This window comes from Homo sapiens, chromosome 2, assembly GCF_000001405.40.
Source record: "Homo sapiens chromosome 2, GRCh38.p14 Primary Assembly".
In the NCBI taxonomy this organism is placed as follows: domain Eukaryota; kingdom Metazoa; phylum Chordata; class Mammalia; order Primates; family Hominidae; genus Homo; species Homo sapiens.
The window spans coordinates 113,866,272-113,893,255 of NC_000002.12; the positions used below are offsets into that span (position 1 = coordinate 113,866,272).

At 42.6% G+C, this 26,984-nt stretch overlaps 1 protein-coding gene and 2 long non-coding RNA genes across 5 annotated transcripts in view, besides 9 other annotated features; 1 reads left to right on the forward strand and 2 right to left on the reverse strand.

The window, feature by feature from the left end:
- Positions 1-24,721, reverse strand: part of ACTR3-AS1 (ACTR3 antisense RNA 1) — a 59,810-nt gene extending 35,089 nt beyond the window's left edge. The window contains exon 1 of the long non-coding RNA NR_110174.1: positions 24,622-24,721. This is a non-coding gene — a long non-coding RNA (ACTR3 antisense RNA 1). The remainder of the gene's footprint in view (positions 1-24,621) is intronic.
- On the reverse strand, positions 12,192-23,496 carry LOC124906071 (uncharacterized). Its single transcript, XR_007087205.1, has 3 exons — positions 21,792-23,496; positions 15,503-16,048; positions 12,192-13,718 (listed from the first exon to the last, which is right to left on the reverse strand). It is a non-coding gene; the product is annotated as an uncharacterized LOC124906071 (long non-coding RNA).
- Positions 20,331-20,380: an enhancer, noted in NCBI's record as "active region_16428". NCBI's record gives its function as "activates an Ori minimal core promoter by ATAC-STARR-seq in GM12878 lymphoblastoid cells {active_cell/tissue: GM12878}" and the evidence as "EXISTENCE:reporter gene assay evidence [ECO:0000049][PMID:35858748]".
- Positions 20,391-20,500: an enhancer, noted in NCBI's record as "active region_16429". NCBI's record gives its function as "activates an Ori minimal core promoter by ATAC-STARR-seq in GM12878 lymphoblastoid cells {active_cell/tissue: GM12878}" and the evidence as "EXISTENCE:reporter gene assay evidence [ECO:0000049][PMID:35858748]".
- Positions 23,189-23,498: an enhancer, noted in NCBI's record as "active region_16430". NCBI's record gives its function as "activates an Ori minimal core promoter by ATAC-STARR-seq in GM12878 lymphoblastoid cells {active_cell/tissue: GM12878}" and the evidence as "EXISTENCE:reporter gene assay evidence [ECO:0000049][PMID:35858748]".
- Positions 23,619-23,708: an enhancer, noted in NCBI's record as "active region_16431". NCBI's record gives its function as "activates an Ori minimal core promoter by ATAC-STARR-seq in GM12878 lymphoblastoid cells {active_cell/tissue: GM12878}" and the evidence as "EXISTENCE:reporter gene assay evidence [ECO:0000049][PMID:35858748]".
- Positions 23,663-26,984, forward strand: part of ACTR3 (actin related protein 3) — a 72,663-nt gene continuing 69,341 nt past the window's right edge. The window contains exon 1 of one of the 3 annotated variants that reach the window (NR_102318.1): positions 23,663-24,052. Coding sequence is in view for 1 of the 3 variants with exons in the window: in NM_005721.5 (NP_005712.1) it covers positions 24,009-24,052 (44 nt within the window). In the remaining 2 variants the exon portion in view is untranslated. Of the gene's footprint in view, positions 24,053-24,326; positions 24,508-26,984 lie in introns of those variants that run through there. The other 2 variants (NM_005721.5, NM_001277140.1) reach the window with 2 other exon arrangements.
- Positions 23,741-24,396: an enhancer, noted in NCBI's record as "H3K27ac hESC enhancer chr2:114647589-114648244 (GRCh37/hg19 assembly coordinates)". NCBI's record gives its function as "activates a minimal SCP1, AML or CMV promoter by ChIP-STARR-seq in naive H9 embryonic stem cells {active_cell/tissue: H9 hESC(naive)}" and the evidence as "EXISTENCE:reporter gene assay evidence [ECO:0000049][PMID:30033119]".
- Positions 23,789-23,848: a silencer, noted in NCBI's record as "silent region_11888". NCBI's record gives its function as "represses an Ori minimal core promoter by ATAC-STARR-seq in GM12878 lymphoblastoid cells {active_cell/tissue: GM12878}" and the evidence as "EXISTENCE:reporter gene assay evidence [ECO:0000049][PMID:35858748]".
- Positions 24,089-24,348: a silencer, noted in NCBI's record as "silent region_11889". NCBI's record gives its function as "represses an Ori minimal core promoter by ATAC-STARR-seq in GM12878 lymphoblastoid cells {active_cell/tissue: GM12878}" and the evidence as "EXISTENCE:reporter gene assay evidence [ECO:0000049][PMID:35858748]".
- Positions 24,479-24,528: an enhancer, noted in NCBI's record as "active region_16432". NCBI's record gives its function as "activates an Ori minimal core promoter by ATAC-STARR-seq in GM12878 lymphoblastoid cells {active_cell/tissue: GM12878}" and the evidence as "EXISTENCE:reporter gene assay evidence [ECO:0000049][PMID:35858748]".
- Positions 24,579-24,758: an enhancer, noted in NCBI's record as "active region_16433". NCBI's record gives its function as "activates an Ori minimal core promoter by ATAC-STARR-seq in GM12878 lymphoblastoid cells {active_cell/tissue: GM12878}" and the evidence as "EXISTENCE:reporter gene assay evidence [ECO:0000049][PMID:35858748]".

Here is a 26,984-nt window from a genome sequence, read left to right on the forward strand (position 1 = left end):
TTTTTTTTTTTGAGATGGAGTCTCGCTCTGTCTCCCAGGCTGGAGTGCAGTGGCTCGATCTTGGCTCACTGCAAGCTCTGCCTCCCAGGTTCATGCCATTCTCCCGCCTCAGCCTCCCTAGTAGCTGGGACTACAGGCTCCCGCCACCACGCCCGGCTAATTTTTTTGTATTTTTAGTAGAGACAGGGTTTCACCATGTTGGCCAGGCCAGTCTTGAACTCCTGACCTGAGGTGATCCACCTGCCTCAGTCTCCCAAAGTGCTGGGATTACAGGCGTGAGCCACTGAACTTGGCCAAGTGCACTACTTTTAAAAGTTAAAGTATTATGCAGCCATGAGGGAATATTGTGCAAGAAGAAAGCTTTTACAAGAAAAACTTGAAACATTGGTATTTTTGCCTCCTTTTTAACAACTAGAGTCGTTTTGGGAGTTGTTTCTTGTCGAAGAAACAACCCATGTTTATTTTCCCAGTATGGCAGGACCATGTAGGAAAGCAAAATTACCCCTCAGGAGAGGAAATTCTCTGACACTCTATAAGGCTCCATAACCCTCCTCTGAACTGTGGCCAACAAGATTGGGTAGCACTTTTTAAGGTAGTTTAAGAAAAATAGGCTGTGCATGGTGGTTTATGCCTGTAATCCCAGCACTTTGGGAGGCCGAGGTGAGTGGATCACCTGAGGTCAGGAGTTTGAGACCAGCCTGACCAATATGGTGAAACCCCATCTCTACTGAAAATACAAAAATTAGCCGGGTGTGGTGGCGGGCACCTGTAGTCCCAGCTACTCGGGAGGCTGAGGCAGGAGAATTGCTTGAACCTGGGAGGCGGAGGTTGCAGTGAGCCGAGACTGTGCCACTGCACTCCAGCCTGGGTGACAGAGCAGGACTCCATCTCAAAAAAAAAAAAAAAAAAAAGAAAGAAAGAAAAATATATAGTGAGCCCAATAAAGCTGTATAATCTAAATCAAACATGACTTGCATGCCTGGAGACTTTGCACTAGAAAAATATTTCTACCTAAAAAATCAAATTTTATTTTCTTTCTCACAAATATTCAATCTGCTTTCATCTCAGTTCTTCCTACCTTGTCAAACCTCTCCCCACATTTCCTATTCTTTTTCTCTCCAGCCTGATATCTCTCATTATACTGCTTAAGAGAAATGTTATGTTACTATTCTTTTCTCCCAGAACTGTTTCTCTGGTTCTTTAAGGTGTCTGAGTACACACTGTGCCTTCTTCCTTTTAGCCCTCTCTTCTCCTTGTTCCCTGAGCCTTACCTTTATGACCTTAGAACTTCAAGTTCCCACTACAATTTTAAATATAGACTATTTTGCTTTTCCTCCTACTAGGGAGCTTAAATTGCCTCTAATTACACTGTTTTCCCGAGTCCTTCCTCTCCTTTGCAATTTAGATATAGCACAGAAGCACATTTTGCTTGACTGTCCTCTGAACTGTCATGCTGTTTTGATGTGGTTCTATTGTCCAAGAGTCTTGGTTAAATAATAGCCCAGCATCCCACCTGTGTTTAAAAGAACTGCTTCACAGGCAAATCAAAAAGCCCATGGATCCGAAGTCACAATGGGCGTTGCTATTCAAACAGCACCAGATTGCTATTCAACGCTTGGTTGAAAAATAAATTTCAGTTTCATTCACCTAATATATTTCCTTCTATTTTGTAGGATGGTATGCTCTTACTTCAATTTGGACTTGTTCACAATTGAACGTTAACATAGCCTTATAGATTAGCCTGTTTTCATTGGTCCAGAGTATTCTCCAAATAAAGCAGGGTCTGTGCATTTTAAGCAACTCCCCTGAACAATTTCATGGGCATTCTCAAATTTGAGAACTACCTGAAAAGCTGTGTTGGAGAAAAGAACAACCAATGAATGTGGCAGGACAGAATATTGAACATTAACTTCCCTTTTCCTCTTCTCCCATCTGTTCTCTTCCATTATCCCTACCCGTCCGCTCAGTCTCGTTATTCAGGCAACAGTTATTTTGCCATTATTTCCTCAAGAAAGGAACAAAAGTAAACACAATTGCTTTCTGATTTTTTTTTTTTTTTTGCATTTTAAAATGGACTTTGAAACCATAAGCAAAGAGGTGTTTAAGAGTCTTTCCAAAGCCAAAAATGAAGGTTTTGAAATTTCAAAGTCACTGCCTTGAAGAGACTCGAGGTTTGGAGTGTGTACAGTATGTCGGAGCTGGACTTTTCTCCTTCCTGAGACTAGATAACGGTCTGAATCCAAGACAGTTTTCATGATTTCAGAGGAAGTGGTCAAGTGGTCTGTGAGGTAGACCTTCTGCTTAAGAGCAGTCAGGAGGCCGGGTGCCGTGGCTCACGCCTGTAATCCCAGCACTTTGGGAGACCGAGGTGGGCGGATCACCTGAGGTCAGGAGTTCAAGACAAGCCTGACCAACATGCAGAAACCCTGTCTCTACTAAAAATACAAAAAATTGGCCGGGCACGGTGGCACATGCACTCCAGCCTGGGCAACAATAGTGAAACTCCATCTCAAAAAAAAAACAAAAAAAAGAGAAGAAAAGAAAAGAAAAGGAGCAGTCAGGATGTGTGCCTCCAAAGCTGAGGTAGACAAAAAGATACCAGAGTTCTAGAGGCCTGCCAGGCACAGCAGCAGCAGCAGAAGGAAGGTGTGGGCGAGAACAGGGCAGCCAGGCGTGTGCCACCTCCCAGACACAATTATTGGGAATGGAGGGCAAGTGGTGATGGGAGAAAATCTTGACTTAATTGATGTCAAGATTAAAGAAATGCCACCTGGTGGCATTTAAGTTCACACATAGGTAAAGAAAGTTATGCATTTACTGTGAAAGTCATCCCACTATTTAGTAGAAACAGGAGATCTGGATTCTGGTCAAGAGTCTCTTTTGCCAACTGTGGCACCACTGAGCAGCGGCACAGCTTTTGTGAATCCTGGGTTCTTCATTATTAAAATGGGGACATTAGCGTTGGGTTGAGTATAAGAAATGGACATTTTTGCAGGTCAAAAATGGTTGAATATTTGCATTTTCATATGATTCAACCGAATACTTACTTCACAGGCATAAGGAAAAAAATAGAATAACATACTAACAACTGTCCCTGGAGTAAGTACTTAACAAATACATGATTTATAAAGAAGATATGTGAAAGATATTTGTAAGTACATGATTTATAGAAAGATATGAAAGTATGTAAACCCTTGTGGTCTAATGGTCACAGAATAATCTGAGCTTAATATCCCTGCTCCCTACCATACAGAAGGCAAAATGCCTATTAGGGGTTTTCTTTCTTCACCCTCTCCTTCTTTTTCCTCCTCCTCTTGACTCCTCCTCATCCTCCTCTTTCTTCTTCCCCTTATTAATGTCTAAAAAGGGGCTGAGCATGGTGGCTCATGCCTGTAATCCTAGCACTCTGGGAAGCTGCGGCAGGTGGATCACCTGAGGCCAGGAGTTTGAAACCAGCCTGGTCAACATGGCAAAACCCCATCCCTACTAAAAATACAAAAATTACCCAGGTGTGGTGGCAGGCACCTGTAATTCCAACTACCCGGGAGGCTGAGGCAGGAGAATCGCTTAAACCCGGGAGGCAGAGGTTGCAGTGAGCCAAGATTGTGCCACTGTTGTCCATCCTGGGTGACAGAGGGAGACTCTGTCTCAAGATAAATAATAATAATAATAATAATTTCTAAAAAGGTAATACATTTTCATAGTTCAAAAACCAAAAGGTATAAAAGGAAATACAGTAAAAAATTTCCTATCATATCACTGTCTAGAGTACTATTCCTTATATATTTTCCTGATTTTTGAGTATTTTAAAATGTGAGTGTTGGATATGAGTGTTGGATTTAAAAAGTTTTATGATAATTTGTGTATATTTGTGTGTGTGTGTGTGTGTGTGTGTGTGTATAGTAGTCCAAGACTATCAGTTTATGAATAATAAGAGGAGACCCATGGAAAACCAGTCCCTTTGACCAAGTTCACTCAGATAATCAGCAGCAGGGCTTGGACATTAATTACAGTTATCCAACATCCTTTGAGGTCTCACATGACAAATTACAAATATGGAGTGTAAATGTAACCCACTTTGCTAGGCAAAAAAAGCCCTGTTTTTTTAAAAAATATATATTTTTGGCTTATGGGCAACAGAAGCCAGGGAGACGTACAGTCAAACCTCATTTCTCATGGCTTTCATATCTGCAAATTCTCCTACTCATTAAAAGTTATTTATAACTCCCGAATCAATACCCACAGCACTTTTGTGATCATTGGCAGACATGTGCAGAAAAGAAAAAAAAATTGAGTTGTTGATTGCACACATTCCCAGCTGAATTTCAACAAAGCAACACTCTGCCTTCCCACTTCAGCTTTCTTACTATATGTGTGTCCTTTTTCTGTTTATTTAGTACCATGTTTTTCACACTTTCGTTCTTTTTGGTGGTGATTTTGCTGTTTAAAATGGCCAACAAGTGTAGTGCTAAGTGCTGCGTAGGGTTCTTAAGCACAAGAAGGCTATGATGTGCCTTATGGAGAAAATACGTGTGTTGGATCAGTTTCACTCAAGCATGAGTTATGGCGCTATTAGCTGTGAGTTCAATGTTAACAAATCAACAATATATGCTAAAGTGTCTTTAAACAGAAACACACATAAAACAAGGTTATATGTTTGGTTGGCAAAAATGTTATAACCAGAAGCTTGCAGAAACCTAACCCTGTATTTCCCTTAAGAGCAATGGTTCATTATTCACTAATTCAATGTTTACAGCAACTTTATAAACTATAACTACCATGAATAATGAGAATTGACTATGTTTTAGATCATAATACCTGAAGTGAAGTTTTCCATCATGGTTTTTAGTTCTTAGAGTCCATTTAAGTTTTTTAAAAATATGATAGCTATCCTATCACATCCCACATTCTTGAGATTAAAAAATTAATCTTTTATTTGGTACAGAAAAGGCTCCTGCGTGCATTTTTGGAGGGGCTGGACCGCTGAGGAAGTCATGGTTGGCTCAAGTGGTTTAAATGCATTGCTAATTTCATAGCCTCTGAACCACTTATGAAACAATACTGATGATATGTCAGTAGCTATGTTTGCAGCTCCTTCAGGAATGCTTATATCTTTTACTGCTGGTAAAGAAGAAATTTATAGTAATAGATTTTTTTTTTTTTTAGATAGAGTCTCACTCTGTCGCCTAGGCTGGATTACAGCGGCTTGATCACGGTTTACTGCAGCCTGGATCTCCCAGGCTCTCCTACTGTAGCCTCCCCAGTAACTAGGGCCCCCACACAGGCATCACCACACCCAGCTCATTTTTTTATGTTTTATAGAGACAGGGTCTTACTATGTTTTCCAGGCTGGTCTCAAACTTCTGGGCTCAAGCAATCCTCCTACTTTGGCCTCCCAAAGTGCTGAAATTACAGGCATGAACCACTGCACCTGGTTTATGGTCATCTTAAGTAGAGACTTATGAGTGCGTATCATTGTATCACCAATCTGAGACTCAATTTTATCTTTCTGTTAATAGACAATGCAGTTTTTCTGTTAATTACAATGAAAATCAAGGGTTGCTTAGCAAGTTTTTACTCATAACTCCAAGTTTTGTGACTTATAGTGAGAAATGGGTATAATTCTTTGTGATTTGTTAAAATGCAGTATTTCGAGGAGGGATAACATATAAAATTTAACAGTTTCCTATCATTATTTTTATCCTTTTGAACCACTGTATACTACAGATAGACAAAGGCAGCTTTGGCCACTTACTCCTCAGTGTGACTAAGTTGACCAGATGTTTTCCAGACCACAGGTTCTGTCAAGAGACAGTGTGGAGAGAAATGGGTAGGCAGGTATGGAAAGAAGAGTCAGAAACAGATAGTGAGCTAATCTCTACAAATGGCTCGTTATGGCCTGAGCTGTGTTCTCCTCCCCGCAAAAAGATATGTTGGAGTCGTAATCCCCAGTACCTCAGAATGTGGCCTTATTTGGAGATTCGATATTTACAGAGGTAAGCAAGTTAAAATGAGATCACTATAGTGGGTCCTAATTCAATACGACTGGTATCCTTACAAAAAAGGGGAAATTTAACCACAGATACAGACACACACATAGGGAGAGTGCTAGTGAAGGTGAAGTCAGAGATTGGAATGATGTAGCAGAAGCCTAGGAATGCCAAAGATTGCCAGCAAACCACCAGAAGCTGGGAGAGCCACATGGAACAGATTCTCCTTCACAGTCCCCTGAAAGAACCAACTCTCCTGACACCTCGATTTCAGACTTCTAGCCTCCAGAGCTGGGGTCAATGAGCTTCTCTCATTAAGCCATCATCCAGTGTATGGTACTTTGTTACAGCAGTCTTAGCAAATGCATGGTTCCTCACTGGAACCATGAATTTCCATGCATTTATTTCATTTAAATAATAAAACGGATCCCCTTTGTGGCTTGTAGTTCTGTTCCATTTCAAAAATCCAGAAAAAAGATTTGTTCAGAAGCTAGAAATGATGAACTGGATCTTGCCCAAGGTCATAAAACCACAAAACCCTTTACAGAGCACAAAAGTCTGATTTTTCAAAGCTTCTCTCAAAAGATGGGTCACTCCTTAGTCATTTAGGCCACTGACAACTGCCCTGGACTCTTTATTTATTTATTTATTTATTTATTTATTTAATTTTTTTGAGACAGAGTCTTGCTTTGTCGCCCAGGCTGGAGTGCAGTGGCGTGATCTGAGCTCACTGCAAGCCCTGCCTCCCGGGTTGACGCCATTCTCCTGCCTCAGCCTCCCAAGTAGCTGGGACTACAGGCACCCGCCACCACGCCCGGCTAATTTTTTGTATTTTGTTTAGTAGAGACAGGGTTTCACCATGTTAGCCAGGATGGTCTCGAGGTCCTGACCTTGTGATCCACCCGCCTTGGCCTCCCAAAGTGCTGGGATTACAGGCGTGAGCCACTGCGCCTGGCCTGGACTCTTACATATAATAAGCTTGACTTATCGTACAACTTATAATTGATGCTTTCACGTCATGGGAAGATCAAATTAATGCAGAGAGCGACTACGTTTCTGGTGGGAGAGCAGCAGGGGTCTTGAGAGGAACAGCAGTGTTGACTGTTTCGCTACCTACTCTGGGTGCTGATTACATCTTTCTTTCGTGCAGGCAAATCCACTTGGAGCTATTTTGGGCTCACTGTGGGCATCATTCTTTGTATACTCTGCTCCTTTCCCCCATAGTTTCTCTATTGATGGGGGATTACTAAAGAATGAAGAAAAGAACAAAATGAAAGTGGCTTTTGAAAAATTTTAAATGACTGTCACTATGTAACATATTCATTATTTCATGTCTCCACTGGACATTTTGGAGATGTGAGCCTTGCAATACCTACATGAATGCTTCTATGATTATGATTATTGTTTTGCTCTTCGCCTAACAACTTGCCAAGTATTGTCAACCTCAGTGTGTGAGATGGGGTCCACTCAAACATCAGGGCCGAAGTCAGGTAGTTCAGTTAAGTGAATTTGATACCAGGAACTAGTTACAAAGGAGTTGGAAGGGCTGGAAAGCCAAACTGGAGAAGAAGGGGAACCCCAGAGTAACAATAGCAGGAAGCCTCTACCGTCTACCTCTAGAACTGGGGAGGAGCTGAGTTAACAGAGTCCTGGAGCCATTGCTGGGGAAGAAGAACCCCAACTGCAGAGGAAAAGTGGCCATTGTGAAGAAGGTGATGGTGGAGAAGTCGTCTGAATCAAAGGGGAGAGGATATGTTGGCTCCTTTATCTTTTTATCTTTCATTGTCCTAATTCCTTCTGGGCATGGTTAAATGAGCCCAGGAAATGCAGTTGGCAGGAATCAGCTTCCTGTGACATAGACAGAGTAAGAGAAGGACAAAAATAATGAATCTGAGAGCAAGCAGGCAAATGACCAGCACATTAAGCCTAGCACACAGTATGTTATACGGGATTTGGGGTAGCAAAAGATGAAGGCAGGTCAGAGAAGCCACAACTAGGGGATGGGCAAGGTCAATGAGGTATGACGGGTATTGTATACAGGAAGAGGGTCATAAACAGGAGTGGAGTCAATACAGGAGACTAACATATACACATCATAAATATTAGTAGAGAAGCATAAAATAGTCTCCTGGAGATCAGGGAAACAGGAAATTATAGGTTTTCAGGATAATTCAGCCATATCCAGGAAACACACACAGTGAAGTAACAAAGAGTCAATAGGCTTAGAGTGGTACAATTCATTATGCACATGTAGGAATTCATTCCAAATAATAGGCTGAAATGTAGACATGAGAATCCAAAAAAGATGTTTTCTTAGTTTTTGCCAATATCTTAGCTACGTTTTTTTTGGTTCAACAAAGTAAGTTAACAGTCATATCTGCTTGGAAATTGTATTTAGGCCAGGTGCAGTGTCTCACGCCTGTAATCCCAGCACTTGGGGTGGCTGAGGCAGGAGGATCCCTTGAGCCCAGGAGTTAGAGGCTGCAGTGAGCGACAACTACACCACTGCATTCCAGTCTGGGTGACAGAACAAAAACTTATTAAAAAAAGAAAAAAAAAAGGTCGGGCGCGGTGGCTCACGCCTGTAATCCCAGCACTTTGGGAGGTCGAGGTGGGCGGATCACGAGTCAAGAGATGGAGACCATCTTGGTCAACATGGTGAAACCCCATCTCTACTAAAAATACAAAAATTAGCTGGGCATGGTGGCATGCACCTGTAGTCCCACCTATTCAGGAGGCTGAGGCAGGAGAATCGCTTGAACCCGGGAAGCGGAGGTTGCAGTGAGCTGAGATTGCACCACTGCACTCCATCCTGTCGAGACTCTGTCTCAAAAAGAAAAAAAAGGAAAAGAAACTATTGAAATAGCTGATATTAGTTTGCTTACTTGTCGTTACTCTTTTTCATGATGGATTATAAAGAAAAGTTATAACTATTTGAATTTTCTGCTGATTTGAAGTCTCTATAAACAGTACATTCCTTTTTGGTACACAGAGGGCACTTATCTGCAAGAAAGGCAAAGAAAATGGAAAAGTTAATGAAAGAGGAATCATCCAATCCACGAACAGAATGAAACCACATACACAGTGAAGAAACTTGTCTTACATTTTCTTCCTTATATTACTTATCATTCATGGTAGTGACTACTTTGGGGCTTGAGTAAAGCTTCTCTAATTTATTCCATGTAGCATCATATGTGAAAAAGACAAATAGATACTTTAGACATGATAATAACACTTTATTTTTTATTTATTTGTTTATTTTGAGACAGAGTTTTGCTCTTGTTGCCCAGGCTGGAGTGCAATGGTGCAATCTCAGCTCACTGCAACCTCTGCCTCCTGGGTTCAAGCGACTCTCCTGACTCAGCCTCCCAAGTAGCTGGGATTACAGGCACGCATCACCACGCCCAGCTAATTTTTTGTAATTTTAGTAGAGACAGGGTTTCTCCGTGTTGGCCGGGCTGGCCTCAAACTCCTGACCTCAGGTGATCCACCCACCTTGGTCTCCCGAAGTGCTGGGATTATAGGTGTGAGCCACCATGCCTGGCCCATAACACCTTATTTAAAAATAATCTGTCTGGATCCATACAACTTGTCTGGATAACTAAATTGGAAATTATTCCTTGTTTTAAAGTAATTCAATTGAAAATTTTTAAATTTTTTTGTTAATCAAGCACTTTTTGGTGGAATCTAAATTAACACATGTAGGAGATGCCTGTTTCACTAATTACACAGGCATCTTGCAGTAATTAATGTCTGGGAGGAAGGAATGTCTTTTGCTTACTCTCTTCTTCTTCACAAAAATGTGAATTTTGGAAAGCAATAATGGAAGCATGTAGAATTATAGAAATACAAATGTATATAACTATCACAAAAAAATGAGGCCAAAGGACTATTCAGATATAATTAGGCTATGGTAGCTGTAATTATCTAGGAAATTAATAAAATTCATTCACCTAGAAATTATTAGTGAGCATCAAATATGTGTCAGCACTAGGCTAGGGTCTCAGAACGTACAGATAAATCATAGTTCTGGCTTCAGGGAGTTATATAGATTAGAGATAAAACCTAACTACAGGGGCTGGGCACGGTAGCTCATACCTGTAATCCCACCACTTTGGGAGGCCGAGGCGGGTGGATCGCCTGAGGTCAAGGAGTTTGAGACCAGCCTGGCCAACATGATAAAATCCTGTCACTACTAAAAATACAAAAGTTAGCCGGGAGGTAGTATGTGCACCTGTAATCCCAGCTACTCGGGAGGCTGAGGCAGGAGAATCTCTTGAGCCTGCGGTGGAGGTTGTGGTGAGCTGAGATCACGACACTGCACTCCAATCTGGGCGAGAGAGTGAGACCCTATCTCAAAACCCCAAACAAAACAAACAAAAAAACCAAACCTAACTACAGGGCTATGAGAGATGACTACTGGCAAGGAGCCACAGGTAGAACAAAGGGGATGTGTCCCCAGGCAAAGGGTAGTCAGCAAGCCTGCAACCTCAGGGTTCCCGGATCTGAGCCTCTGGCTCTTGGCTAGGCAGGCCCCAAGCGTTGGCCTCCTGCCATGGCAAGCTCCAGCCTGGTCTCCCACCTTGAGCTAACATTCATATGTTGTAGACACAGCCACGCTTCCTGCTTACCTGTCACTTCCAGTTCTCGAAGGCACCCTTTTCAAATGAAAATCCGCCCCTTTTCACATCAAACAGCTCATCTGGTCCTGTGGATTACATTTCTCAGAAATGCCTCTGAACATTCGCCTCCTCTCCACCCCCACTGCCTCTGCTACAGTGCAGGTGCTCGCCATTTCTGATTTGTTCTGTCACACACTCGTTTATCAGGTCTCTCCATCTCCTGTTTTGACATGCTGTAAAGCAATTTGCCACTGGAAAAAAGGGCTCTCTTTTTTTTTTTGAGACGGAGTCTCGCTCTGCTGCCCAGGCTGGAGTGCAATGGCATGATCTCGGCTCACTGCAACCTCTGCCTCCCAAGTTCAAGTGATTCTCCTGCCTCAGCCTCCCTAAAGTCTGGGATTACAGGTGCACGCCACCAAGCCCGGCTAATTTTTGTATTTTTAGTAGACGTGGGGTTTCACCATATTGGCCAAGCTGGTCTCGAACTCCTGACCTCAGGTGATCCACCCGCCTCGGCCTCCCAAAGTGCTGGGATTTCAGGTGTGAGGCATCGTGCCCGGCCTCTCTTTCCAAAGTATGTTATTATTTTTCCCAAGACCCTTTGACGGATCCTCATTTCCTACACACAGTGGTTCTCAAACTTGGATGTACTCCAGAATTACATAGGAAATTCTTCATTTTTTTAGACGAGGTCTTGCTATGTTTCTCAGGTTGGTCTCAAACTCTTGACCTCGTGTGATCCTCCGGCCGCAGTCTCCCAAGTAGCTGAGATTATAGGCGTGCCACTGAGCCCAGCTGGAAATTTTTTTAAAACACAGATTCCTCTGAATCAAAATTTCTAGAAGTGAGGTCTGAGCAATCTGTATTTTTAACAAGTTATCCAGATGGCTCTTTACTGTCAGTCTGGTTCCAGCTGAGGGAGTTTTAGAATTACAAGGCAAAGTCCAAACTTAGCACACAAAGTCATTCACATCAACTCTTCCCCTGTACACACCCTATGTCATAGCCAGAGTTGTAACCCATTTCTTAAACACCCAGGGTTCTTTTAAGTCTCTGTGTCATTGTATGTTATTTTCTCTAGAATTGCCTTTAACCTCCTTTCCACCCTGGAAAGCATTCCCTAAGCCATCTTTGAAGCTTTCTTTGATCTCTAACTTAGAGTCCTCCTCTCCTTCTAAAGCCCTGTGTTAATCACTTGTCATGGTGTACTTTAATTTTTACTTGCCTGTTTCTCTTTACGGTACTTTGACTTCAAAGGGTGGGGCTGCAAATTAGTCATCTCCTTAGAGTCCAGCCTTGTTCCTAGTTCCTAACTGGCACTTAATATAAACGAATGAATGAATGGACAAATGAAGAGAATGCTAGTTATGATAAAGAATTGGCCGTGTATGAGACTACTTCTCTTTATGAACTAAATAATTATATGCCTTTCAATAAAATACTAGTACACGTAGCTAGCACAAGCTCATCAGCATTTGAGATGATATGGAAACCAAAATAAACAAATGCTACCACAAAAACATAATGACTGCTTTCCCCAGTGCAGGACTGATGGAATCATCAAACATTGAGATTAATGTAATGTTTGGCAGATGTCCAGTGTTTTTATTTTTCATTTGCCTTTGTGTTCATTTATGGACTAACAATATAATAAACACACACATACTCACAGTACATCTTTTTTTTTTTTTTTTTTGCAAAGCCCAGTTTTCTTCATCGCATATCTTTGTTTTCTTCAAGTATCCCCTTACTTAATGTTGGTAGTATTTTTTTTAATGAAATATAAATCCCTAACCACCAAGCAAGAAATGAGACTCTTAATTGCATCAGTTTACAGTGCAATGTGAGTGTAAATAGTGTAAATTGAATTTTTAATGGACTTTTTTTTTTCCCGTTTTTGCTTGCCTTACATTCATTATCCCTCCCTGGGTAATAAACATTTATTTTTCCCTTTGTAACCACTCCTCCCCTTCTGTCCATGTGGTTCTTTTTAGTGGAGCTGGTGGTAGGGATGTGGCATGAGATTCAAGCTTGGCCACCTGGAGTCACTGTGTTGTGCTCCAGAAGGACACCTGATCCAAGTCAGCCAGTAAGAGTGAGCCCCAGGATTTTTGCTTGGACCACTGAGGAAAAGTGTACTCTGCCCTGTGGCTGATCAACCATTAGGATATAAGCCATTGTTGTAGCTGTGTGAGTCAAGCTACCTGAGAATGAGGACAACACAGTGGCAAGCAACACCAAGAGAGAAAAAGAGGCAGATTCTGATGACATTTTTGAGCCTTTGCATCCAGCTATGCCTGAATCCAATTTATCCCCTGGAATTTACACTTACTTGAGCTCCACCCACTTGAAAGAAAACATTTCTTTTTATTCTTAGCCTGATTTGAATTTGGCCTCTCTCATTTACTACCCAAAGTGTCTTGACCACTAGAATATTATGCCAGACTTTACAGCATCATTGAATTTGCCACTTTCCAGAAGAGTTGTGTGAATTTTCAATGTAGCTTTTACCTTCTATGAGTATCTAGAGATATATTTAAGTAGAAGTACTCCACTAGTTTGTTGTGAGATCTTAAGTCACTTAATTTCTCTGTACCCTAGTTCCCTCATTTGCTAGACCTAGGGAGCTATAATGTTCCTTCTGCAAAATTCTTATTTTGTGAAATATTCTAGAATGTCTAACTGATACACTGCTAGAACAACTGACTGCTATTTAAGAAGAGTTGACTGCTATTTAAGGATCATAATTCTCTAGGCATAAGTGCTGTGACGGCACAGCGTGTGCATCGGGGCTGAGGGGTGGGGTGGAGCAGAAAGTAGGAGGAGAAAGTTTGATAAACTTCCTTTTGGATAAATTGAAAACAGTCAAATAATTTATAATTTCTTATATTATCATTATTAGCTTCTTCTATAATTAGGAGACTTGTTCCAAAATGTGAGAATTGTCACAAGTTGTCAAATTCATCAAAGGAAGAAAATGGATGTCTCACAAAAAAGTATGCTCAGTCCAATTTCTTCTCGTCACACTGGAACAAACTGAACAGTTTTACACAGAGATGAGAAGCCTGGACATTTTTCAAATATGTTTTGAAGAGAATGGCAATGCCTGAGACAGAAGTAGGAAAAAGCAATGAATATTTAAAAATCTGAGCTGGTGTAAAACTAGAAATAGTTTTAGTAAGAACAATGTGATGTGCTACACTAAGTGAAATGTATACATTGGGCCACATTATAATCAAAAATAAGAATGTACTTTTATTCATCTTTTATTTAAACAATAATCAAGGTGGCGGGCGCGGTGGCTCATGCCTGTAATCCCAGCACTTTGGGAGGCCAAGGTGGGTGGATCATGAGGTCAGGAGTTCAAGACCAGCCTGGACAACGTGGTGAAACCCCGTCTCTACTAAAAATACAAAAATTAGCTGGGTGGGGTGGCATATGCCTGTAATACCAGCTGCTCGGGGGGCTGAGGCAGGAGAATCGCTTGAACTTGGGAAGTGGAGGTTGCAGTCAGCCAAGATTGTGCCATTGCGCTCCAGCCTGGGTGACAGAGCAAGAGACTCTGTCTCAAAAGGAAAAAAGAAAAAAAAAAAATCAAGGTACCATTTGTACCATTTCCTGGAATTTCTCCAAAGTGGCAAGGTCACATGTTTATACATTAGACTCCCAGTTTAACACACAGCAGACAATAACTTTTTTTTTTTTTTTTTGAGATGGAGTCTCGCTCTGTCACCCAGGCTGGAGTGCAGTGGCACAATCTTGGCTGACTGCAACCTCCGCTTCCCGAGTTCAAGCGATTCTCCTGCCTCAGCCTCCCGAGTAGCTGGGATTACAGGCATATGCCACCATGCCCAGCTAATTTTTGTATTTTTAGTGGAGATGGGGTTTCACCACATTGTCCAGGCTGGTCTCAAACTCCTGACCTCATAATCCAGCCACCTCAGCCTCCCGAAGTGCTGGTCCACCCTTCCTTCTTTTCTCCCTTCCATCCTTCTCCCTTTTATTCCATTTTTCTAAATATTAGACCATAGTACAAATCAAAAGTCACAAACTGATAGGCTGCAATGTAGATACAGCTGGGAAAATGTTTTGTTTGCAGAACACTGGGGAAATTTAACATGAAAAACTGGAAGATCTCAATCCACATGGCCACATGGTAATATTATTAATGTTGCAGGGGCTTTCCAATTCAACATGTCCTCTGCATCCCTACTATTTATACTGCCACTCATCCACCTTTCTGTATTACTGGCCTATCACCTATACACGTTTGAGTTTATATTCTTCTGGCTTTACTTAGCAACTTACCTTTTATATTTAACATTACAACATGGTATTATCAATTAGTATTCGATTCAGTTGCATATAACCAAAAATGCCAAATTATACTGGCTTAAACACTAAGGATTTATTTTTCTGTCATATAAAACAAGTCTGGAGGTGGGTAGTCCAGGGCTAATATGACACTCCAGTGTCACAAGGTACCTGGGCTCCTTCTATTTATCTTTTTTTTTTTTTTTTTTGAGACGGAGTCTTGCTCTGTAGCCCAGGCTGGAGTGCAGTGGTGCGATCTGGGCTCACTGCAAGCTTCGCCTCCCGGGTTCACACCATTCTCCTGCCTCAGCCTCCGGAGTAGCTGGGACTACAGGCGCCCGCCACCACGCCCGGCTAATTTTTTTGTTATTTTTAATAGAGACGAGGTTTACACCGTGTTAGCCAGGATGGTCTCGATCTCCTGACCTCGTGATCCACTCATCTCGGCCTCCCAAAGTGCTGGGATTAGAGGCGTGAGCCACCGCGCCTGGCCCTATTTATCTTTTATAGGACATGGCTTCCAGTCTCAAGTTCAGTTTGTCACCCATAATGGCCAAAGAGCAGTAGTCACCTTACCTGTTTCAGGCAGGAAGGGCAGAGGGCAAGAAACAAAATGGTGCTCCTCCTGATTGAGTCAGCGTTCTTTAAAGATGTTTTCCAGATGTTCCACCCAGCCGCGTTTTTTTTTTTTTGAGAGACAGGGTCTTGCTCTTGTCACCCAGGCTGGAGTACAGTGGCATGATCATGGCTCACTGAGGCCTCAATCTCCCAGGCTCAAGCGATCCTTCCATTTTAGCCTCCCAAGTAGCTGGAAGTAGCTGGGACCACAGGCACATGCCACCATACCCTGCTAACTTTTTCATTTTGTGTAGAGACAAGGTGTCACTGTGTTCTCCAGGCTGGTCTGCAGTTTCCAACTCCTGAGTGCAAGTGATCCTCCTGCTTTGGCCTCCCAAAGGGCTGGGATTACAGGTGTGAGCCACTGTGTCTGGCCAAGCTACTTCTACTTATATCTCATTGGTCATAACTTGATCACACAGCCACATCCAGCTACAATGGAGATTGAGAAATGTAGTCTTTTGGCTGGGTACACAGCATCTGAATAAAATCCAGGCATTGTTACTAAGGAAGAAGGAGTAAGTGTCAATCTCTGCTCCATAACTCTCTAGGTTAATACACACAGATGGAGGAGATTGCTAGTTGCCCCTCAAGATCCAGCCTTGCCTTCTGGGCTAAGAAAGCCCCTGAGATTTACCTGGCCATAGTGGCACTGGGAACAAACAATGTATTTCTAAATCTTCTGATTTTAAAATCTTTCAGAATCACGATTTCTCCGACATCAGTATTTTTATGTCTTTAGAATTCAACAAAATGAAATTCCTAAGTCTAATATATGTGAATATTAAGTTTTAGCAGATACTGCTACATAACTTTCCAGAAGGGTGTGGCAATTCACATCTCCACCAGTGATCAGCATGTTCATTTTCCATACAGCTCTGGATATTTTGTCTATTTTAAAATATCTTCTTCTAATCTATAATTTAAAAATGTAACTTAGTAGGAATTTAATTGTTCATGTAACCAAATCTTCCCATTAATGGCTATGGGTTTCTTCTTTTACTTCAGAAAGTCCTCCCCACCTTCAGAGTATATAAACATTTTTTTCTAAATTCCCTTCTAATTTCTTATAATTTATAGTTTTATTTTTGTTATTTGATTCATTTATTCTCTCAACAGATATTTATTGAGCACTTATTATACGTCAGGCTCTCTTCAAACTCTGGTGAGAGTATTTTCTAACTGGGAGAGACAACCCTAGTTGATAAGAAACAAACAAACCAATAAGTAAATAAGACATTTCCCCCAGATAATTAATACTTGGTGACGGGGGAAGACAGTGAGACAGGCTACTTTACACTGGCAGGTCAGGAAAGGCTTCTCTGAGGAGGCAAGTGATTCAGGATTAATTGATGACTGGTGGAGAAGTCCGGGGAGTGGACACAGGTGGGAACAGCCTGGTGGGTGTGAACAGCAACAAGAAGGTTAATGTGGCTTCATGGAACAGGGTGAAGATGAGACAAGCTGAACACTGAGGTGGGCACCAGAACATGGAGGGCTTTGTAGGTCCCAATAAGGAGTATGGATTTTATTGTATACTGGAGATTTGTCATCCATCTAGAATCTGTTTTTATATATAAGAAAAGGTGTATATGTTTGCGCAAGTGTGTGTGTGTGTGTTTGGGGGGGCGGGGTGGGGGCAGACAGGGCGTAACTTTTCTTTAAATTAGAGTCAAAATTTAATTAAACTATTCATTCTTTACAGGCAGTGAGGGGATTAGGATCTTATCCCACAGAATCTCACCTCATTTCAAATGTTGTACAGATATTATCTGAGATATATTTTCAGGCCGGGTGCGGTGGCTCACGCCTGTAATCTCAGCACTTTGGGAAGCCGAGGCGGGTGGATCATTTGAGGTCAGGAGTTCAAGACCATCCTGGCCAACATGGTGAAACCCCATCTCTACTAAAAATACAAAAATTAGCCGGGTGTGGTGGTACACGTCTATAATCCCAGCTACTTGAGAGGCTGAGGCAGGAGAATCGCTTGAATCCAGGAGGTGGAGCTTGCAGTGAGCCGAGAAAACGCCACTGCACTCCAGCCTGGGCGACAGGGCAAGACTCTGTCTCAAAAAAAAAAACGAAAAAAGAAATATATTTTCAATGAAATCAAGCATATAATGACTATTTTTATCCCAGCATCTTGGCTTCTTCAGGCTGCTATAACAAAGCATCCCTAGTGGAGCATCCCTAATCTGAAAATCCAAAATCCAAAACGTTCCAAAATCTGAAACCTTCTGAACACTGACATGACACCACAAATGGAAAATTCTACATGTAAATACACGTAAATACAAACTTTGTTTCATGCACAAATTAAAAATATTGTATAAAATTACCTTCAGGCTATGCATATAAGGCATATATGAAATATAAATGAATTTTGTGTTTACCCATGGGTCTCATCCCCAAGATGTTTCATTTTGTATATGTGCATACTCCCAAATCTGAAAAAATCCAAAATCTTAAATATCTGTAGTCCTAAGCATTTTAGATAAGGGATATTCAATCCCTTATCCATAAACAATTTATTTATAAACAACACAAATTTAGGCTTTGTAAAAAATAGAAATTTGGCCGGGTGTGGTGGCTCACGCTTGTAATCCCAGCACTTTGGGAGGCCGAGGCAGGCACATCACTTGAGCTCAGGAGTTTGAGACCAGCCTGGTCAACATGGTGAAACCTTGTCTCTACCAAAAATACAAAAATTAGCAGGGCTTCGTGGCATGCGCCTGTTGTCCCAGCTACTCGGGAGGCTGAGGCAGGAGAATTGCTTGAACCCGGAAGGCAGAGGTTGCAGTGAGCCAAGATTGAGCCACTGCACTCCAGCCTGGGGGACAAGTGAGACTCCACCTCAAAAAACAAACAATCAAACACAATATAAATTTATTTCTCATAGTTCTGCAAGCTGAGAAGTCCAAGATCAAGATGTGAGCAGATCCACCTTTGGTGAAGGGCTGCTTTCCATTTGATAGATGGCTGTCTTCTTGTGTCCTCACATGGTGGAAAGGGTGAGGCAGTTTTTTGAGGTCTCTTTTAAAAGAGAACTAATCCCATTCATGTGGGGGTCTGCCCTCATGACCTAATCACTTTCCAAAGGCCCCACTTCCTAATACCATCACCCTGGGGGTTAAATTTTCAACACACAAATTGGTTGGAGAGTGAGCGAACATAGACATTCAGTCTATAGCCCCCAGGGATGTAGCCACTGAATAAAATAATCTAGAACTTCATCTAGAGGCAGTTTATAAGTCACATAAGAAAACCAGTTTTACTTATAGTCACATAAAACTTTTGATAAAAAACAACCCTAGTTGATAAGCCATTTGTTTACTGGACTTGGCTCTGAAGAAATGACTTTTGGCTAATCCTCAAAATGAAATCTACTCACAGAGGGCAAGATCTGCCACCAGTGAAGATGTTTAAAACAATGTGCTGTAGGCTTTGAAGGCAAGTCTAAAGAAGAGCTTCTAAAAATATTTTGCACAATGGTAGCATTAAAAGAGTAGGCACATGGGCCCCAAGATAACATCTGTGAAGAGGAGGACCAGTGTGTGTTTCCTTTTGTATGTTTAAGTACTAAGTCAGTGATTACTTTATAATTAAACCATATTCCTCTTGATCTGTCCATAATAAGGTCACTCTGTAATTTATAATAGGCTTCTTACCAAATTCAAGCTTTACAACAACCCTATAGGTTAAATATTCCTGTGAATTTTATAGATGAAGAAACAGAGTAAGTGAAAGAGTTCATACTCAATTCAAGTCTCTTGAGTCTAAAATCAGTGCTCTCTCTACATAAGAAGTTAGTTGCTAAGATCACACAACTTGAGAAGAGAGAAGACAGTTTTCACAGTCCCTCCCCTCTGACCACTAGGCTGCTTGGGGTACTTTTACAACTTACCTGCTCTGAATTAAGGCTCTCTGTGAATCTGATTCATCTGCCAATTTGCAAACAGTCAGCCCTGTAGTACGTACCTAAGTTGATTTTTAAAATACTATTTCTCATCTTAAAATAATGGAAATTGAGTGACATAAATTTCCTGGACACTTTTTAAGATCCAAAGACAATTTGCTAATTTGTCGTTACAATTAAAGAGCCCCCCAAAAGGCGTAAGAACTGGATTTTGACTTGGACTTCTGTTCCTTAGTTTCTTTAACATATTGGGGGCCGGGAGTGGTGGCTCACACCTGTAATCCCAGCACTTTGGGAGGCCGAGGCGGGCAGATCACGAGGTCAGGAGATTGAGACCATCCTGGCTAACACAGTGAAACCCCGTCTCTACAAAAAATACAAAAAAAAAAAAAAAAAATTAGCCGGGTATGGTGGCGGGCGCCTGTAGTCCCAGCTACTCAGGAGGCTGAGGTAGGAGAATGGCATGAACCCAGGAGGCAGAGCTTGCAGTGAGCCGAGATCGCACTACACTGCACTCCAGCCTGGGCGACAGAGCAAGATTCCATCTCAAAAAAAAAAAGAAAAAGATATTGGGAAAACTCACTTAAACTCTATGGGCTTCTGTACCACTAAGGCTTCTCAAATTTGATGCAAGTAATGGGAACTTGCTGTGGCTAACTTGAGCCACAGGAGAAGGATACTGCAAGACTCACAAATGCTTGAAAGTTTCGGAACAGGTTTGGAAATGGGTAAGAACCAAGGACCGGGTTGACCTGAACTGAAAGGAAATTGAGGTGCTATTAGGGACAAATATGAAATGAAGGATGAACTGTCTCTGACATCCTTTGCTTCTGTGTTTGGAGATGAGTAAGCAGGGAGTGGGTGCATATGCAAACAGGGTGGTCAGAAATGCTTTGGCCGGATGTGTGACTGAAGGCTATGTGCAGCTGAGGAAGGCTGGGCCACCACAGTAGCAGAGAGGCTGACCAATTTGGCATGCAGCAAGCAGGAAGTAGAAGGGATCTTAAGCAAGCAAAGTGTTTGGGTAGACAAGATTATGAGGAATGAGCACCAATGACATTTCCAACAAGCACTGAAAGCTTCCAAATGCTTCTAACAGTTACTGCCTGTACAAACACAGGACAGTCTTGACTATGTGAGACTGTGACAGTTTCCTCATGCCTATGAAATGAGAGACAGTACTTAGCACTGACATGAGCTTCATATTTGAAGGCAGCAAACTACTGAACCACATGTAGCTTCCGAAATCAAAAGATGCAAACTGGCAGACCACAGGTCAGATATGACATGCAGAAAAAAATTAGTTACTATCTTAGCCTAGTTTGTGCTGCTTACAGAATATCAGAGACTGGGTACTTTATAGAGAACACAAATTATTTTTCATAGTTTTAGAGGCTGGGAAGTCCAAGATCAAAGGGCCATCATCTCGTGAAGGCGTCCCTGCTGTGTCAAAACATGGTGGAAGGCATCACATGGGCAAAAGAGAGAGAGGGAAGCGGGGGCAAACTCCTTTTTATCAGGCACCCAGTCCTGTGATTCATTCATGAAGACAGTGTCCTCCTGGCCTAATCACCTCTTAAAGCTCCCACCTCTCAGCACTGTTGCACTGGAAATTATATTTCTCACACATGAACTTTGGGGAACACATTCAAACCATTACAGTTACCAAAGATAAAAATGCAGATTTCAGATTTCTCTTGGGGAAGAAAAAAGGCTCTGGCAATACCAGGGCTGTATTTCCACATGGCAACAGTTGTCTGTTGCCTTCTGTTGGGTTGTGGGCTCTCACATTGCCATACCCTCCTCATGGCCCCCTTCACTCATAACAGTACCTGCCTAGACCTCGAAGCACTAGTTTCCAACCCTGCTTGAGTTAACTACTTCCATGACAACTGTGCAAGGCCAGAGTGTGGGCAGCTACCTTGAGGGCCACCGGCATGGGCTGCCCAAGTGACCGAGGGCACTAACCTCTGCTCTCGAAACTTCTTTGGTAGGATCTCTTCACTCCTGACTTACTACTTGTAACTGCTGGAAACAACCATTTATTCTACCCCTACTAAACCACATCTGTCTTTTCTGTCAGAGCCAATCTTCAAGCATATGCTTCCTCAAAAGACTTTAATTACCAGGTAGTAGAAGCGGCAGCAAAGAGTCCCCATCTAGCATCTTCTAAAATGTAGTGGAGAAACCAACGACAACGAATCTGAGACAACCAGTTGTTTGACTTCTCTGAAAACAACCTCTAAAAAAAGCCTTCTCTCGTGAATAGCTGCAGACATGCTGGGCACTAATTGATGATGATGCCCTTTAGTGAGTCTCCTCTGCACATACCTGATTCCATTTGGATGCTGGCCCTCACATACTTCTATCTGCGAACTCCGGAACACAGAATATCATACAATGTATGATTCAATCTGGACTCTGCTGGAGCCATTCTCTACAAAGCAGACACAACTTTTTCTTGCCTAAATCCTTTCAAGTTGCTTTATTTTTATTTTTAAACTAATTACCATAAATCTAATTTATCAAGCTGCTTTTAAGATAAACTTTAAAATGCTTAGAGCAGTCTACAAATTCTTGCACTGTTTCACTCTTCCTTATCTCTCAGTCTTCATCTCCCATTGCATCTTCTCTGACTCTTTCATATGGATCTTCTTTCAATTTGTGGAAGAAGCCAAGCTTGTTCCTGCCTCAGGTCCTTGACACTTGCTGTTCACTCTCCTGGGAGACTCTTCCCCCCATCTTAGCTTTTAAATACCAGCTGGTCAGACTCCTTACCTGCCTTCCACCTTCCTCTCATTCTCCCACTCCTCGCCTTCATTTCTCAGAGTCCTCCGCTCTCTTCTTTCTATTGCTCTTAACACAATTTGTCTGTTTTCCGCTAATCTGTAAACTCTACAAGAGCACTTAACTATTTTGCATCCCACCGAATATTCGGAGTCAGCACAGACCCCGTCATAATAGAGTAGGTAAGCAATGCTTACCTGTCAAATGAATGAATGAAACACCCGATTCATCCCCCAAGCCAGCTTAATACATTAGATGATCTTATGGACTGAATAAGACATCCCTCCTTTTAAAGAATATTTTTGTTTTAGCTTCACATCAGCAAACCCCGAACGGTTCATCCTAAGATAAGCCTGGTAGAGAGGAAAGATACTAACCTTCTAGGGTCCTAAAGTGGAACTAGGAACTTATTAGATATGCACATTCTCAGGCATTATTTCCGATAGCCCAGTCAGAGAATTCTGGGGGTATGGCCCAGCAATCTGTTTTAACAAACCTTTCAGGTAATTCTGATACACACTAAAGTTTGAAAGGTTTCTTTAAGGCTTTCCAGTTTTCTTTTCTTTTTTGGAGGGATGGGGGGGGGTCTCCCCATGTTGCCCAGGCTGGTCTCGAACTCCTAGCCTCAAGCTATCCTATCCTCCCACCTCGGCCTTCCAAAGCATTGAAATTACAGGCATGACCCACTGCGGCTCGCCTCCGTTTCTAACTTAAAAAAATTTTCTTTGGAGGGGAGCCTTAATCCTTTCTATTATCCTGCTAGTAGAATCTTACTACTCCTGAGGGTAATCTTTGTCATAATCCAAAAGCCTTGAATAAAGGCCTATTTGTATAGTTATGCAGAATATATTCCTGGGAGGTTTGCCTTCCTAGGAGCACAGGTCGGCCCTGGGAGGTGGGGGTTGGGGGGCAGGGCTGCATTCTAAAGTCCTGTAACAACGCACAAGTACAACTGAATAGAACTCGGAACAAAGGCATCAGGGCCACGGTGCAAGTCTTTGTTCATCCGTTCCCCGACTGCTCACCCTGTCTGATACCGCTCTTTTCCACCCAGAAAAGCAGCCACTCAAGTTTTAAGAATGGATGTATGCCGCGGACGTTTTCGATTAGGCCGTTTTCTCTCAGGCACTGGAGGATATTCGTGGCTGCAGGAGGCGCTTCCACCCTTTCCTCAACCTAGCAAAGAAGTAACTGAAACTAACCCAAGGGTTACAACCGAAAAGCCCCTTCCAGCTTCAGAAGCAGAACTGGAAGCTCGGATAGACTTCTCCGCCTCTACACTCCTGGAAAACCCGCAGTGGATTTCACCAACTTCAGGATCGGAGCCCAGGCAGGCGAACGTACCTTATTGCGCATGCTCGCTAGCCCCTCCCGCTCGGAGCGGAAGGGGGAGCGCTGGGGGCCTGGGCCTGGCCTGGCCGGGGCGTCGGCACCGGCGGCCATCTTGGCTTCCCGGGGAAAGGCGGCGTGAGGGGAAGAAGTTGTAGGGTGGGGGCAGGAGTGAGGAGGAGGGAAGAGAGAGGGGGAGGAGGCCGCGGCGGGGCAGGGCGGGGACTGCCTGCCTGCCTGGGTTGCGGAAGTGATAGCCGCCGACCGAGCCTGCTGCTTTCTTGCTACTGCTTCGGCTTCCCGGCTACCCCCCGGACGGTGAAGGCGGCCCAGCTGTGGATGGTCAGATAGCCCTTGTCTCCCGCCGCCAATCTCTGGCCCCTAGCAGCACGGAGCAGACGGCGGCAGCAGCAGCAGCAGGCGAGGAGGAAGATGGCGGGACGGCTGCCGGCCTGTGTGGTGGACTGTGGCACGGGGTAAGGGGGCTTACGGGCGGGGGTGGGGAAACTGAGGCGGAGGAAGGAAGATGGCGGGGGAGGGAGGAGGCCGGGAAATGAATGGTGCGGCGAGGTGCCGCCGCCGGCTGTCAGTCCTAGACCCGCCGGCCAGCGAGGGGTGGGGCCCGCAGCCAGGGCCTCGCGGGTCCCCTCGTTTCTCCCTCCTGGGACTGGGGCGGGGGCGCGGGCCCGAGATTCAACCCCCAACCCTCCCAGCGGCTTTCTCCGCGCGACCCCTCCCGGCCCTTCCCCCACTACGGTGGGCAGCGCCGCCCAAAGGGCGCTGGGGACGGTCGTCTTGGGGGTGGTCCCCGGGCCCGACCCATCCGGCTTTCCTTTCCCTCCGCGCCCGTTTTTGCCAGTCGGTTTGGGGACCCAGGGGCCGAGCTCGGGGACTGGCCTGGCAGGGGAGCTAGAAAAGAGAAGCGCTCCTGGTAGGTTTGACAAGATCGCTGTGACAACATTCTGCCCAGGGTGTGGGTGGGGAAAGGGAAGAATCGGACTCTGAAAATGGGAACCTACAGTGGGGCTTTCATTTGACCACCCACCTTCTCCTTTCGACTCCTGGTCATTTCCATCTCCCTCTGCGTTTTAACCGGTGAACCAAGTCACATTTTAATTCGAGGGAGAAAGATGTCATGTGTTACTTCTGTAGCCTCAAAAAAGTCCCCCAGTGAGCAAGCGCGCTGCAACTTCCTTAGTTTTGTCAAAGCCGCTTCCTGCTTTCAGTCTTTTATACCCTTATAAGGTAGTTTTTAGTTTCCAACCTGAGCACATCTTACTAGAACTTTTAAGCAGGTTTTAAAGAGACTGAATTACCGGTGCTTGGTGTCCATTTATATGACTTAAAAAAATGTACTTATGTTTCATGGAGTGGGGGAAAGGAAGCACCCTGGAAAATAAACTAATTTAAGTTGTATTCGTTCATTCTGTGATGGTATCTTGAAGGAAGCAGGAAGGTATAGAGGTATATAGGAGGGTGTTTAAGTTGCAAATAGTTACTCGTAGATATGTAGGGTAGTTTGCGAAAATGTAGAGTGGCTTTAAAGTGTGGTCGTTCATTTTGTATTAATAGACGTTTTAGAGAGTTGTACCACACTCATAACTGCATAGAGAATAGACTACCCTTATTTTTATGTAGAATCACTGCTTCAGGATGACATATAGGAAAGTGGTTTTTTTTTCTGTGCTGATGACATCTCTCCAATTCCCAGAACACTCCCAGTTTTTTTTTTTTGAGGGGGAAGTCAGTAAGAGGTGGACTGTCAGGCTTTTTTTTTTATTATTAATTATAATTATTGATTTCATTATTGTTACTTAAAAGATTGTGTGTCCTTCACTCTTTATGTGAAATTTCTTTAATCTTCATTCTCATAACTAGCTAGTGTGGCAGTTTCTAAAATCCCAGTTAGGTAGAGAGAAACCACCAACTTCTTAATATTCTCCTAGGAAAACACTAGCCTTGGAACTTCTATGTATTTTTTTGATGAACACTTTATTTAAAAGTTTTTCCTTAATTCAGTCTCATTTCTCTGAACCAATAATTTTTTTTATTTCTCCCTTCTTAGTCTAATTGGTGAGTATTTTTATGTCTAGGTTCAGTTTTAAAATTAGATTTGGCCTGAGTCAGTAGGATAGGACTTTTCAAATGTGTTTTGTTAAAGTGACGAATATTGCTACATAATTAATGCTTTAGAAATTACTGCGTTTTCAAAAAAATAGTGTAAATAATTGTGGCCCTGAGAAATAATATGGTAACATCTCAAGTAGTATGTTACTTTTCTAATCTCCATTTTCCCCCTTTTGAAATAGTTTCGAATTAGTATACAAGATGTTTCATTGAGATAAACTGTCCTTAAGTGACCTCCTTTCCTAAAGGGCAACCTTGAATTTAAAACATGCTGAATGACCAGTAGGATCGGGAAGAGGGGTTCAATTTAACCTAGGCTATTTCTGTTTTAAAATTACGATTATCACAATAGTGTATTTTTAAGTTATTACATTGGTTTCTCCAATAAGGAGAGGTTATTAACTGCACATTGATGATTTGAATGGAACTGATTAGGAGTCCCCTTGCCACCTCACTCTCTTTTACCATTTGTCACAATCTGAAATTCCCCCTTTAGAGTTTCAGTTATTTTGGTTCTCAAAAGCCTTTTTGGTCTTACAAGTTTCCAGTGGTGCCTCCTGGGAAGTTACACCTTCAGCTTTATTTGCACATGGAGGATAAGTCCTTGAGGTTGAGGACCCTGAGATAAACATCTCTAAGTATGGCCTTAACAGGGAGCTTTTACATTTCAAAATTCTGTGGTCCCCGAATGCAAATTGTGCACCTGTAATTTGTCTAATTTTTTTTATGCTTTAGAGAATGCATTCAGCTCTGAGGTCTCTAAATTACAATTACTCACTTAGTTTAAGTAAAAAGTTATAACCTGAATCAGGTTGCTCATTTCATTCATTATATAAATTAGGGGAAAGGTGGCTGAAAAAAAGTGGCCATCTGTAAAACTTGATCGTCTTAGATAGGAAAGCTGTTAAGAGTTAGGAAACTTGAAACTTAAGCCCAAAACTTTTAGGGATCGTCCAGCAAAACTCAACATATGAATCACCTAGATTCAGGTCATAAAAGAGAATACTTATTTTGAAAAGAATTTGAAAAGAAATGCTTCATTCACATTGATACCCTTATCTACACACTTTTTTGGTCTGTATTGGAAAGCATTGTAAAATACAGTTGGGGCACATAGATTCCCATTGGTGGCTTGAAAACTAAATAACAGAACTCAAACCTGCTATTAGTGGTGAGAAAAGCATTTTCTTTAAAAGGCATTCACAAACATTTTTTAAAAAAACATTGTAACACTTGTATGATCATCCTAAGGTTTTTTTTTTTCTGGGCGGTGGAAGGGAT